This window comes from Homo sapiens, chromosome 21 (assembly GCF_000001405.40).
Source record: "Homo sapiens chromosome 21, GRCh38.p14 Primary Assembly".
Taxonomy (NCBI): Eukaryota; Metazoa; Chordata; class Mammalia; order Primates; family Hominidae; genus Homo; species Homo sapiens.
This window is the reverse complement of record NC_000021.9, coordinates 15,750,412-15,765,546: the sequence shown is the minus strand read 5'-3', so window position 1 is coordinate 15,765,546 and position 15,135 is coordinate 15,750,412. Positions and strand designations below refer to the sequence as shown.

Sequence of the window (15,135 nt, the reverse complement as noted above, 5' to 3'; positions counted from 1 at the left end):
GTCAAGGACTCATGGGAAGAAAATGGCAAAATGTACTGAAGGGCTTGATAATATGGAATTATGGAAAGACACACAGAACTCTAGACAGAAATACTCAATACTGTCAAGATGACAATCCTGCTCAAATTAAATAGATACATTTTGCATAGTTCTCATCAAAAGTATAGCTGAATAAAATTATTCTAAAGTTTATTTAGAAGAAAGCAGATGCCAGAATAAGAATTTTAATTTAAAACAGCAAAATGAGAAGAGACTTGCCCAGTTACATCTTTATATTCTCTGCACAACTGACAGCAAGTAAAACGTTAGCTCTAAAACAGTTAACCAAAACAACATAGGAAACCCAGATATTCACAACGAAGCTATCTTTGTAACAGAAAACCAAAACATGGAAGGCTCTGTAGGTTCCCTAAGAACTTAGACATGCACACGGGTGTAATAAGAAGCCAGTGGAGTGTTTTGGAAAGGAATGACATAGTATGACTTACATTTTAAAAAGTTTACTCCATGTATTAAGAATAGACTAGAGGAGAGAAAGGGCAGAAGACAGCATCCAATATTATTGCTATCTTATTAAATGTGGGACATGACAGAAGTAGGATCAGGATGATTCCAAAATTTAAGGACTGAGCAGCTGGCAGAATAAAGTCCCCAAGACCTACCCCAATTCCAGTTGTAGCAGTCAGTGACAAAAGGAGTAAGGATGCAGTTTCAAAGGCACCACCACTTTCAAAAATGCTATCTGTCATGATCATTAGACGATTCCTAAGTGACTCATCCAAAATGTAAGATACACTATTGTTAAATAAGTAATCTAACAATAAAATAAAGCGCAATAATGATGGCTAACATTTATTGAGCACTTACTATATGCCAAGAAATGTGCTAAGTGTTTTTCATATATTACCTCATATAATAATTTAAAACAACACAGCAGGAATTTACACAAATTGAAGTTCATTTACTTTTTAGAGCTAAAAATATGTTCTCAAATTAAAAGTACTGAAATTAATCAATGACATTACAGTGCTCAAAAGTAGACTTCTCGTCAGTATTTATAATGGGCAACAATTAAGGTTTAAATACACTCTTTTCCCCTAGCTACTGGTAACTGAAACAAAAATTTTGGAAAATTAAAAATACCTATGCTCACACAACCTCTATCAAAGGAAATGTGGATAAGACTTCATTCGAGCTACATATTTTCTAAGTTTAAAAAAAAAAAAAAAAGCAAATTCCCCAAATTTACCCTGGCAAGGTGATAGGCTATGGTCTCACACTCAGTAATACATAATGAAAAAGGCAGTTTCTGAAAACAAACATGGAATTTAGTAATGATATTTATCAGAATAAAAAGGGACTAGCAATTATCTAAACGTCATAATCATAAAAATTGAGGTATAGCACTTCTGCTTCCTCTCCAAATACTTACAGTGGCTTCATACACCCCGCATTAATGCTCTAAACACTACTATTTCATGATTTTCCTGATGGGGGAATAAGGTGAAGCAAAGCTTCTAGTAAAAGAAGCATAAATTAAGTGTGGCACCTGGGATCAGGCTGCCTTGGTTTCTATTCCAAGCTTCTCCACATACAGGCTGTGTGATCCTGGGCAAGTTACTTTAACCTCTCTGTTGCTCATCTTTTCATAAAGGGGATGAAACTAATACTTATCTCATAGAGTTATTTATTATTAGGATGAGCTAGCCCACATACAGTACTTAAAATACTGCCTGGTAGTACTAAATGTTTAATCGGTACTACTTATTGTTATAATGACTTTTATTATAATCATCTAATAGATTATTTCTAAAAACAAATAAAGAACTCTAGGCTTGAAATCAAGTTCCAAAGGATTGGAGCTGTGTATATGACTGCAGTGGCAAAAATGCTATATTGTTTTTAGCCTATAGTAGTAATATGCAAATAAGCTTAAAATACTGTACAGTTCTGGTTCTTAAATAGCTTTCATTCACTCTTTTTCAATGTGAGTATCCATATGATATGACTCATTTGGATGTCGATGTGAAACTGAAGGTCCAACTAAGATATGACCAAAATGATACATTTTAGTTGTTGCCTATACTGAAGAGTTTGAAATTGAATGTTTAACTTAGGGTGTAATTAGCTGAATGGGTGCAAATTTATATCTCTGCTTCTCAGGAGAAGAAAAATGTAAGTTTTCAGACTTCTATTAATTTTCTACTTTTCCCTTCTCTTACACCTCATCCTCTAATACACCCCACCTTGAACCCTCATTTAAACTCTAAAATCACAGCTCGTAAGTAAAACCATCCATTAGAATTAGGATTCACATCCCACTATCTTGCACAAAAAGCATTTCATATATAGAAAGAGGTTATCTGTCACTCTAAGGTATCATGGACATCAGACTGCTGAAAGCTAACATCCTCAAAACCGCAGTGTGTTAACTGAGGATTTTACTTTACAAAGTCCATTCCTGTATCTCTAAAACTACCACATGGTATACCCCAAAAAAAAAATCAACTATCAAATATAATACGCACTAGAGATGAGCATATACCACAAACTGTATATCATAAAACAGAGGCCATACCTTCAAGGCTTGCTGTAGTATCTGGGTGTCATTAATCCCCGTAATTTCTCTCAGTTGATTCAAAAACGTCTGCTGGTGCTAGAGGGAGGAAAAACCCAAAATCATTATATTCTCAACTCTGAAAATATACTAGGAAAAGAAAACAAATCACCTTTGGTTTTCCAAAACAAACAAAAAACAGAATAAAGTAAACTAGAGTAAAAAAGGAAAAAGAACTTGAGAAAGGCCAAACAACTTCATTCTTTTAGAAAGAATGAATCATGCTGTGGAGAACCCTTATTTCATTCTCACGTTTCGAAAAGGTAACTTCTCTACATTACTCCCCAATAAGTCTTACTGAATTAGCAGTTTCTGTCCTTTTCTTCATCCCCTCATTTATGCCACCTAACAAGAAAAGGGGCCTTATCCATGATGGTAAGCACAAGGAGAGAAACACCTTTGGAAAAGACATGCTTTCGGCAAGACATAACTCGGTGGGTAATTATACCACGGAGATCTTCAGATCTACTTTAAAAAGAAGATCATTTCACTGTCCAATCTGTCATAAAAGATTCTAAATTGAATAGATCATTTGCCCCCATTTGCTTCAGTTCTTTATATGCTATTGGCCTATAAAATTGACTGCATTGTACTGGAAGGGAAAAGAGGTAGAGAGATAGGATTTCACTATCAAACTCTCCCCTGATGGCCCTTAAATAAAAACCAACTTCCTCCTTACATCTCTGTATTTCTTGAAGTTCCCAACACTATAGAACAGTACCATGAAATAAAAAATCACAATGGATATGATAGGAAAAGCAAACCTAGTCAATAGAATAGGATCTATTGAAATCTTTTTTAAAAAGATGTTTCACATTTATCTCAGCAATAATTCAGTCAGGAATCTTCAATGGATGATAAAACTACTGAATGAAAGTTTGATCAGGAACAGAATATTTACATCATTTTAAATTCTCTTCCACAAATTATAAAGGGAGAAAGAATAACTTTATTGTGTTAACAGTGGCGAACCCGTACAGGTCTACAGCAAGCTCACTTCCTGCTTCCTCAGAAGGAATTTGACCAAGGCGCATAGGGCAGAGAGAGACATCAAGGCAAGTTTTTAGAGCAGGAGTGAAAGTTTATTAAAAAGCTTTAGAGCAGGAATGAAAGGAAGTAAAGTACACTTGGAAGGGGGCCAAGCGGGCAACTTGAAAGATCAAGTGAACAGCTGACCTTTGACTTGGGGTTTTATACACTGGCATGCTTCCAGGGTTTGCATTTCTTCTCCCCTGATTCCTCCTACAGGATGGCTGTCCACAGGTGCAGTGGCCTGCCAGCACTGGGGAGGGGCTGCACGCACAGTGTGTTTACTGAAATTGTGCATGTGCTCACTTAAGGCGTTTTTCCCTTACCAGTTGGGTGTTCCTAAACAAAGGTCATATGTCAGTTAAACTCCACCGTTTTGCCTCTTAGTGCATATATGCTTGAGCCCATTCACTCAAATCCTGGAATCTTATCAGGAAGTTGCTAATCACCAGTTTCAGGTGTTTCTATCTATTGGGAGACTGCCTTTCCCTGGCACCGGCTGCGACCAATTATTATTTCAGAGAGATGGTTAATAACAGCCTGACCACCGCCTAATGGTTGCCTGACATTCCTGGGGGGGAGGCCCCCTTCTGCCCTGCTCATGTCTGACTAGCTACCTACTGTAACAACAGTGTAAACCCTGACAGTCACTGCCTTAACCAAGAGATCAAAGTTAGTATTACCAATAATAGGATAAAATGGCAGTGCGTGCCTCCTGACACTCTATAATCTGTGAGATAGCCCTGCCGAAAATGCACAACCGAAATCTAATCTTGAGGAAGCATCACACAAACCCAAACTGAAGGACACTGTGAAAAATAATTATTCTATCATCTTCAAAAATGTCTATGCCATGAAAAGCAGGTGAAGTCTCCACCCTAAAGGAGACTAAAGAAGCATGTGAGCCAAAGGGGGAACTGACTGCATCCCATACCAAATGTTATGCAGGATATTGAGACAACCGGAGAAATATAAATATGCACAGCTTAGTAATGACATTTCATTAATATTAAATTCTTGAATTTGATAACTCCAGTATAGTAAGAGAGTATCTTTTTTATTAGGAAATATATCCTGAAGAATTTAAGTGCTAAAGGGGCATGATGCCTGCAACTTACTATCAAATGGTTTGGGGAGAAAAAAAGTTATGGAAGTTCTGTGTACTAAGTCTTGCAACTTTAAATTTGAAATTTCAAAATAAAAAGTTTTAAAATGTTCTGCATTCAGCTTTGTTGACATCAAATTGTAAAATGTGCATTTCAAAACATGCTTGACAATTTATGTATAAAATATGTATTTTCAGAAGTCTAAAAAGTCCTAAACAAATTACATGAAAGGTTTAAGAGATATTGCAGCCCAAGTATCTTTTACAGAAATCATATGTATTAGATAGAAACTATATTCAGCTACATGTAACAGATTCCCAACTAAACAGCAGCTTCAATACTCTGGAGTGTCTTTCTTTTCTAACTTAGAAGACACAATGGGCAGTCCAGACCTAGTAGGGACACCCAACATCAAGTCTTTAAAGTGGAACATGCATCAGAATGTTTGTCACTGCATGGTCTCCTCCTCCATCATCCTGTCCAAGTTCTAGGTAGGATAAAGAGAAGGGCAAAGGACAAAAGGTGTCTCCCAAATGAATGAGACTTCTTTAACAAGCCCCACCTACAAACTTCCACTTACAAAAGCCTCACAAAGCACAACACAGTTGCATGGCCACTCATAGCTGCAAAGGAGATTGGGAAATGAATTTTTTGGGTGGGCAAAGGCTGCTGTGAAAATGAAATCAGGGTTCTGCTATCAAAAAGAAAAGAATGTTCATTGGATAGGCATTGGCAGTGTCTGCCATGCCACCAAAGAATTTCACTTCCATAAAAATGGTTTTACAGAGCTGAGATAACCAAGCTACCTAAAAATAAAATACATAATAAAGTACACAAACAAAGTCATATAAAATGCCAGGAAGTATCAAAATGGATGAATAAACTGCCAAATTTACAGAGCCGAATTGAGAAAAATAAAATTATCTTTAAACCTATCAGTTTTTATACCGTAAACCAAAAACAAAATCTGAAGCTTCAAGGCACTCTAAAATTTAACCTGAAAGACTGGTTCAGGCCATGACTGGAAGTGGGGGGTAGACATGCCTCAGTATACCTCTCCAGCATTAACATAAACACAGACCTTAAGTCTGGTAAGAAACATTATCAGTCTACTCTCTCTAAAGCCTGCAACTTGGAGGCTTCATTTGCATGATAAAACCTAGGTCTCCACAACTCCTTATCTTAACCCAGACATTCCTTTCTATTGATAATAACTCAACCAATTGCCAATCAGAATATATTCAAATCTACCGATGACCTGGAAGCCACCCTGTGACCAGACCTTGAGTTGTCCCTCCCTTCCAGATTGAACCAATGTGAATCTTACATGAATTGACTGATATATTATGTATCCTTAAAATGTATAAAAGCAAGCTGTACCCCAACCACCTTAGACACATGTTGTCAGGACATCCTGAGGCTGTGTCACAGGCACGTACTTAACCCTGGCAAAATAAACTTTCTAAATTGATTGAGACTTGTCTTAAGATACTTTTTGGTTTATACTACTTTCATTTAGAAAATTACTAATAAATAGCAATGGAATCATGAATAAGCCATGCAATACCCAACATTACGAATTAAAGGCATAAAAGTTTTACAGAAATTATCTTTATTCAATTCAATGTCTTCATTTAGTTAATATAAAATCCTTTATAATTTTTATAAGTCTGTAATGTCACTGCTACCAGCACTCCAAATCTGATTTCATATATAAAGTATTATTTTCCTCAACTGAAAATTATTCAATCATGGCTCAGAGAAAAATTACTTAGTACCCAAGGAAATCAGTCATTTGTACAAATGTTGATGGCCATTAATTATAAAAATTTAAAAATGGCTGTGTCCCCACCCAAATTTCACATTGAGTTGTAGCTCCCATAATCCTCATGTGTCATGGGAGGGACCTGGTAGAAGGTAATTGAATCATGGGGGCGGGTTTTTCCCATGCTGTTCTTGTGATAGTGAGTTAAGGGTTATGAGATCTGATGGTTTTGTGAAGGAAAGTTCCCCTGCACATGCTCTCTTGCCTGCCACCATGTAAGATGCACCGTTGCTTCTCCTTTCCCTTCTGCCATGATTGTCAGGCCTCTGACAATGTGGAACTGTGAGTCTATTAAATATCTTTTTCTTTATAAATTACCCAGTCCCAGGTATGTCTTTATTAGCAGCATGAGAACAGACTAATACACTGGGTAATTTATAAAGGAAAGAGATTTAACAGAATCATGGTTCCACATGGCTGGGAAGGCCTCACAATCACGGCTGAAGGTGAAGGAGGGGCAAAGGCACATCTTACATGGTGGCAGGCAAGAGAGCATCTTCAGGGGAACTGCTCTTTATAAAATCATCAGATCTTGTGACACTTATTCACTATCATGAGAACAGGATGGGGGAAACTGCCCCCATGATTCAATTATTTCCACCTGGTCCCTCCCATGACACATGGGGATTATGGGAACTACAATTCAAGATGAGATGTGGTTGGGGACACAAAGGCTAACCATATCACTCAGTCTCAGGTATGTCCTTATAGCAGCGTGAGAACAGACTAATACAAATGCATGTCCTTCCATTAAGAAAGTAGTTCTCAAACTTTAATGTACAGAAGGATGACTCCATGAGTTTGCTAATAATGAAGATGTCCAGGCCTCATCCCCAGAGATTGATTCCAGAGGGTCTGGGTTAAGGTCTAGGGATCGGCATTTTAATAAGCACTTCAAATGATTTTGATGCAGATCAACTTAGAAGCAGAGTCTCAGTTACACATACAACTATTTAAGTGAAAAATATATAATCTATACAGAAGTTTTCCTTACAAAATCACATTACGCTAAAGCAGAATACAAAATAGTATATACACAAATTAATAACCACAAAGTAAAATACAAACACGAATATAAATCCCAGAAAAGATTACACTGCCTATGCTAGCCTCCCAATTCTCCCATCCCTGTATTCATACTCTTTGCCACTTTTACTTCCTCACACATGATGTATTTCCTTTTGTCATGGATGATGGGATTTGACCAATGGCATGTTAGCAGCCAGCATGCAAGCAGACATGAAACTACCTGCATCGCTGGGCTAGCCCAGTTGAACTTCTGCAACCTGCTTAAGAAGAACATGACTTGGTAGCCCACTTGCCTAAGAAGAATGAGGCACATGTGAAAAAAGTCAACCCAGCCAACCAGCAAATCTGTGAGTGTGAGTGACAATATTTTGGTATGCCACTGGGTTTTGAGGTGGTTTGTTATGGTGGTTTGATAAAGTGCAATAAGAATACTGAGTATATTATGGAGAAGAGCAAGGTCTTTGAAACTGTTATTTTGCTGTTTTATCTTTTACTATAAATTCAGACAAATATCCTAGAAAAAAATCAGGTGTATCTCTAGTATGGTTCATGTTTTCATAAATCTTGACTGAAAATGAAACAATGAAAAGAACTGGTGATCGGGGAGAAGGCCAGGTGGAAAAGAAAACAAAAAAAGTGAAAGAATTTTCTTAGCTAAACCTAGGTAGAGAGAAATGGGAAGAGGTGAGCAATGAGAAAAATCCTAAGTTTAAGTTAGAGAAGCCACCTCATTTGCAAAGTTTTTTTCCCTTTGTTACTGGCATCTTCCAGTTGTGTTTTTCCTGTATTTGAAACCCTGAACCTTCATTTCCTGCAATTATGTGGGGGTTTTGTTGCCATTTCTGTTGTGATTAAGACCCTAGTCTGTTTTTCAAGGTTTGTACCTTCCCATTTATGAAACTTCTGACCTGTGATACGCCCTGATCCTCAACTGGAAATGTCCTAAATATGGTCCTCTCCCTGACCAGCAATTCCAAATCCAAGGTGGTTCCCATCCAATCCACTTCCATATCTAGAGCTCCTCTTCTGGGCTCTGAGATGCTCCTTGTATGGATTTTTTTTCTCTAGTTAAGTACAGGGAGGTGGGTTCAACCTCTTCCCACTGCTAAACCAAAGGGGCAAGATGCAACGTCCAAAGAGATTCAGTTACTTGCAAACACCACAAAAATTAATAAGCAAAGAAGTCAAGATTACCTACAAGTCTTCAGATTCCTTCCTGTTATTTTTACTGCACAATAACATCCTTAAGTGTCTACTATGTGCAAAATACAGTACTATGCACTTCAGATATAAGGAAATATTGGTAATTTCAATATAAATTAAAAACCTGAGAGTTTCATAGAAATTCTTTCCCTTCTCAGGTGACCCCACTTAATGCTGGGTATTTTTAAAATCTGTTTCAGTAAAGAGGGCATATTTAACATCAGTATAACTTTTTGAGGATGCAAAAAAAGGGATCACTGGCCCAAGACAAGGCAAGAAAATATGAATTTATTATACTCTTGCTGTATATCAATGTTGAGGTTACGAAAACAATGCCCCAAAGTATGGCATTCTGGCTTGCTGAGTGCTCTGAACAAAAGCAATTGAAAGGACTCAGAAGCAAGGTCTCTCTCCAACATTCTCCTGCCTCCCCGTTTTCCCTTCCAAAGCACAGGGAGAGGTTTTCTCTGAAGTTCCCTTATCTGACTGAGGGACGTTCATCCAGAAGGAACGAAATTGTCTTGGATAATTCCCTGGAATCTATATAAACCAGAGAAGATTAACTCCTATAGCAGGAAAGAAAACTAAAAATTGCCATGCACCTGGGCATACCATACCCAGACAGACTTTTCACCTATTCTTTTGACTATTCTTCTAAGGGCTATTTCTTACCTCAGAGACTTTATCTATATAACAAAGACAACTTTTGTTTGCAGTACAGTTCTGCCCCTCACCTTCCCAAAAAATTGCCACCATCTCTCCCAGAGCCCGGAAGAATTTTGTTCCAGGTCATTGTCTGCTCTTCAGGCACACTCATCTCCCCTTGAAATCATTTACTCTTCCTCTAAAATTGCCTGCATCCTCCACTTCTCCCTTTATGAAGAGGGGATTCAGGCTTCAATCATCTGGCCCTTTTTAGAGCCTCATATTTTTTTTGTAGCTCCCACCCATGCTTCCATGTCAATAAATTTGTATGCACTTTCTCTTGCTAATCTGTTTACTGTCAGTTTATTTCAGCACTCAATTAATCGAACTTTCAGAGTGAAGGTTTAAACTTCCCTATACCAGACTGTTTCCAATGTTTCCAATATATACTCTCATTTAATACAGACATACCCACACACCCTCTAGAAAGTTACTCTCATTTCATAGCTAACACAGACTTCAAGACATTAGTAAGTGCAGAGACAGGGTTGAAACTTGGTCGTTCAAATTCCATGTCCTTGCCATATTTTCTCAACTCTAGGATATCTAACATTGGAGATTAAAGATTCAATAAAAAATGAAAACTCAGTGCAAAAATCCACTATTATGTTGATGTAAAATACTTATAAAATGGTAAAAGAAAACTAAAGCACCACTGACAACAAAGGAGAAAAACAGTTTGTGTTAAGCGGTGGGTGACTCATTAAGTCAGTCCTTGGCTCCTTCAGCTAAATTTCCAAATATAAATGAAACTTGGTTCAGGAAAAGAAAGTCAAAGGTTTCCATCCTTGGGGATAGGTGTAAGGCGGGGGGCGCAACTCTTAGAATGACCTCTAAAAAAACCTTCCAAATTTTCTAAGAACAGAGGAAAAAAAAAAAACTGATAGAAACTCCAAAGACATTCTTAAACTTCAGAATCACACGCACTGCTAAGCACCAAATGTAGGCATTTCAAAGTTACCTGTCAATGACAAGATTAATTCATTATACTGTCTTTAAAGTGAGTAATCACACACACACCTGATTTTGCAAAAACCTCTGCATCTACCTGCTAACACTACACTGCTCTAGCTCATGTTCTCTTACCATAAGAAACCTCTAATACTCACTGTCCAAGAATTTCAAGTACATAACACATCCTTCATGTTTGTAAGTCCAAACCAGTCTCTAAATAGCCAGAAAGCAAAGAAGAAGAAAAAATCTCCTGAGTCATGTTTTTCTTGTTAATGTGTAAGCCGGATCTTTCATTTCCCTCAACTGTAATATTCTATGACTTGTCTGAGGAATTTTCCTATAGTATAGTCCTCACAGCTTAAAGGACCTCTGCATGCTAGAGTCCCTACCTCTGTCCCCAGCACTAACTTGCTTTGCTTTCCCCCTGGCATTCCTCTTCCCTCTCTTTCATTCAGGGTCTACAGAACACCATTCTCCTTCATAATGCAAAGGTCTCTGCACATGTAGGTGCCTTCTGTGAGACTCACCACAAATTATAATAATACACTATGGTTAATCACAAGGTAAATCCAAAGACGACAAGAACTCTTAAACTTCAGAAGCACGTGCACTAAAGCACTGCTAGGCACCAAATGTTAATCATTTCAAAGTTATCAATGAGACCATAATTCGTTCATCACTGTACTCCTGGTACATACATATAATGCCTGGCACATGGCAAGCAATCAACATTGACTGAATAAATGAATACAGCAGAGCCTGCAGATGTGAGCTGGAACAAGCCATATCACAAGACAAGCTTATCCCACAGAAAAGAGGCACTAACTAATTATTGGAGATGGGAATGCTGGGGCTCAGGACACACCACCTCCAAATAAGACTGCAGGCGACTAGAATATGCCACCCAAAAATATACTTCTTTGGCATATTTTGAGGTAGTTATTTTGAGAAACTGCGGACACAAGAGTAACCTTGAAAAACTGTCCTTTTGTGAAAAAAAATCCATTTTTAAAGGAAATCTACATTAGAAAAAGTATCTGTATCAGCAAGAGGGTTGCAACAACTTTTATTACTTGAGTGACTTTTTATCTACACAAGACACCCTTTATTCACCATACATTTCCTCCCCCACCCTCTCATAACTTGTGTTGCCACCCCTCCCAGAAGCCCCAAACCCCTATCACTTTTTGTAGCTCTGGATGCTACATAAGCTTCAATCATGTGACCCTTCTTCAAGTCTCTTATTTTGTGGGACTCCTGTAAGTACCTATGTAATTAAAATGGGTTTTCTCCTGTTAATCTGCCTCTTGTCAATTTAATTTCTAGTCCAGCCAAAGAACTTAGAAAGGTAAAGAGAAGCCTTTTTTTTTTTTTCCCTCTCATACAGGAACGAGAAGCATACATATATCAGGCCAACTAATAAGCACATTTTCTAATTCTTCTAAATTGAAGAATTCTTCTAAATGACATAAGTCAGGCCCACTTACTAAGCAAACTTTCTACACTCCTACATTCCATCTAGAATTTCCCAGTTCTGGTCCTGTCAATCTCACTTGAAGGTTTGTATAAAATATAATATTACTGAAATTCCCTATTGCAAATAATCTATATGACAGTCCCATGAATGTGTAAGCAGACAAGGAGGGTCCCCCGGGACTATAGGAATTTAATCAACTTAAGTAACTGGCCTGTTTACAACCTCCTACCTTGCCACCTGTTTTTTCCCAAACCCTGTGAGGAATGAGCTCTCACCTAGTCAGTTGGAGCCAGCTCCTGACAGACCCTCGCAACATGCAGATGAACCCAAGTGAACTTTCCTCATTATCATGCTAAAGTCAGCACCCTGGGGGGGAACTACAGCTTCATTACCATAACACGTGACCTACCTGCTGACATAGTGACTCACTGCATTTGCACCACTGGGACCCCTCCTCTACATGTGATGTCACACCCTCTCCCCTCTCCATCACCCCATAAAACCTCCCTGTCACTTTCCCTAGAGGCAACAATGCCCTAAAGAATACTCCAAGTATTCTCCTTATTTGTGACAAGTAGTAAAACTCCTACTGACCAAAACCTGCATTCTCTTGAAGAGTTGTTTATTACTCACCAGGCAACTAATCCTGGTTTTCAAGTTTTTGGCGGGTAACAAATGGTTCAGGTATGCTGCATATCCTACTGTCACAGATTGAAGTTTTTCTCAATCTTTTTGGATTAACAGCACTTTAGCATTAAAATAAATTACTCATATACCTCTATGGGCACATAAATCTGAAGGTATACCCTTTCCATTAAAGCTTAAAAATGCCAAGAATTCTAAATTTTAAGTCTCTTCCTACTTTTTATAGAATTCCAGAGCTAAAACATTAAGCATTCATGCAATCCAGAAAAAAGAAATGAGATACTTTATGAGAAATAGCTAGCAAAGAACAATGGATATAGTTAGTCCTAGATAAATGATGGTTTCCATCCTCCCTTGCCACAGAGTCCTTTTTCCTACCTGTCACCCAACCTTTCAACCATATCTGCATCATGTTTATGACCCTTAAGAGTATTCCCCATCTGGGCCAGGTGCAGTGGCTCACGCCTGTAATCCCAGCACTTTGGGAGGCCAAGATGGGTGGATCACAAGGTCAGGAGTTCGAGACCAGCCTGGCCAATATGGTGAAACCCAGTCTCTACTAAAAATACAAAAATTAGCCAGGCATGGTGGCAGGCGCCTGTAGTCCCAGCTACTCAGGAGGCTGAGGCAGGAGAATTGCTTGAACCCGGGAGGTGGAGGTTGCAGTGAGTCGAGATCACGCCACTGCACTCCAGCCTGGGCAACAGCGACTCCATCTCAAAAAAAAAGGGTGCAGTGGCTCACGCCTGTAATCCCAACACTTTGCGAGGCCGAGGCAGGCAGATCACCTGAGGTCAGGAGTTCGAGACCATCCTGACCAACATGGTGAAACCCCATCTCTACCAAAAATACAAAATTAGCCAGGCGTGGTGGCGCATGCCTGTAATCCCTGTAATCGGGAGGCTGAGGCAGGAGAATAGCTTGAACCCAGAAGGCGGAGGTTGCAGTGAGCTGAGATTGCACCATTGTACTCCAACCTGCGCAACAAGAGCAAATCTCTGTCTTAAAAAAAATTTTTTTAATTACAATGTAAAAGAGTATTCCCCATCCCTATTAATTAGTAGATAAAATAAATACATCATGAGTAGAAACTCTAAATGTATTTCTCCCAAAAAATACTGTTACTCAGCACTATAAGCTAAGTTCACACAGAGTTACATTTCTAAATAAGAACACACCACCAGGAAACATGGTTTCTATGGGAACATGTATTTTCAGTTCCAAAAACCCAACTTGCAAAATCTTTTGGAACACAGTCTGTTTTTAAATTAGAGTGCCTATATTCTGGAAAACAAGTAGGTAAACAAAACTTTTATGAATCAAATCATATCCTTAAATCACTATGTCTGCAGTTTAAATAAAATATGTATTTAACTTGTTGATGCTAATAATCAGATTCCTATTATAGCTCTCTTGTCCAATTAAATCTTTATGCATCTCTAGTTTCTGTACTTGTTTGCCTAATTAGCTTATAATCCAAAAATAAACTCCCTTATACTAATAAAACAAAATAAACGTGCTCTAAGTAGAACTCTGAAACTGGAATACTATATAATTCCTAGCAGTTATATTTGTCACAATTCTTTAAAGCAAATACAGTTTTTGGTCATGCTAATTACTTATATAATATGTCCTATGGTCTCTTGGAAACTCCATTCATCTAGATACGATAAAGCACATACTCTACACCACTTCAAAAGAGCTACTGGCAGGAATGTCCCAAGCTACAGCACTTCTATAAACTGCTCTGCCATCCAGTGGGCTCCATTCACAACCTCTCCAACAAGAACCCAATCTCTCAGAGTCTTGGGGCTTCTGAAGGGCCTCTCCCAAATTCATTTCTTACTTTAGAGTTCTCTTTACCCTCTAGCAGCCAATCATCTGTTCCTAGTCAATACTTCTTTACACCAAATCTCCTTTGTTCTACTTTTTGTCCTTTCTTTGTCCTCACTGGACCCTGAAACAAATTCCTTGAAAACAATTTCTGTATACTAACAGTGTATTAATAATATAATTCTACAGTTTTAAGAGAAAAAAAGGGCCAGGCGCGGTGGCTCATGCCTGTAATCCAAGCACTTTGGGAGGCGGAGGCGGAGGCGGAGGCAGACGGATCACAAGGTCAGGAGATTGAGACCATCCTGGCTAACACGGTGAAACCCCATCTCTACTAAAAATACAAAAAATTAGCCGGACGTGGTGGCGGGCACCTGTAGTCCCAGCTACTGGGGAGGCTGAGGTAGGAGAATGGTGTGAACCTGGGAGGCGGAGCTTGCAGTGAGCCGTGATCACGCCACGGCACTCCAGCCTAGGCGACAGAGCGAGACTCTATCTCAAAAAAAAAAAGAATTAGGGGAAAAAGTTAACCATATACGCTGAGCATTATCATAGAACTACTATTTACTGAACACTTATTAAAAGGATATAAGGGGTCGGGCACAATTGTTCATGCCTGTAATCCCAGCACTTTGGGAGCCTTTCGCGGGTGGATCACCTGAGGTCAGGAGATCAAGACCAGCCTGACCAATATGGTGAAACTCCATCTCTA

At 38.6% G+C, this 15,135-nt stretch overlaps 1 protein-coding gene across 14 annotated transcripts in view, besides 2 other annotated features; it reads right to left on the bottom strand.

Moving 5' to 3' along the window:
• The window catches only part of USP25 (ubiquitin specific peptidase 25), a 150,083-nt gene that overhangs the window by 114,518 nt on the left and 20,430 nt on the right, over positions 1-15,135 (bottom strand). For all 14 annotated transcript variants that reach the window (NM_001352560.2, NM_001388301.1, NM_001388302.1 and 11 more), the window contains exon 2: positions 2,579-2,656. Coding sequence is in view for 7 of the 14 variants with exons in the window: in NM_001283041.3 (NP_001269970.1) it covers positions 2,579-2,656 (78 nt within the window). In the remaining 7 variants the exon portion in view is untranslated. The remainder of the gene's footprint in view (positions 1-2,578; positions 2,657-15,135) is intronic.
• Positions 11,979-12,604: an enhancer, noted in NCBI's record as "OCT4-NANOG hESC enhancer chr21:17125262-17125887 (GRCh37/hg19 assembly coordinates)". NCBI's record gives its function as "activates a minimal SCP1, AML or CMV promoter by ChIP-STARR-seq in naive and primed H9 embryonic stem cells {active_cell/tissue: H9 hESC(naive and primed)}" and the evidence as "EXISTENCE:reporter gene assay evidence [ECO:0000049][PMID:30033119]".
• Positions 12,183-12,477: an enhancer, noted in NCBI's record as "tiled region #8522; HepG2 Activating non-DNase unmatched - State 7:EnhWF, and K562 Activating DNase unmatched - State 5:Enh". NCBI's record gives its function as "activates a minimal TATA promoter and a strong SV40 promoter by Sharpr-MPRA in HepG2 and K562 cells {active_cell/tissue: HepG2 | K562}" and the evidence as "EXISTENCE:reporter gene assay evidence [ECO:0000049][PMID:27701403]".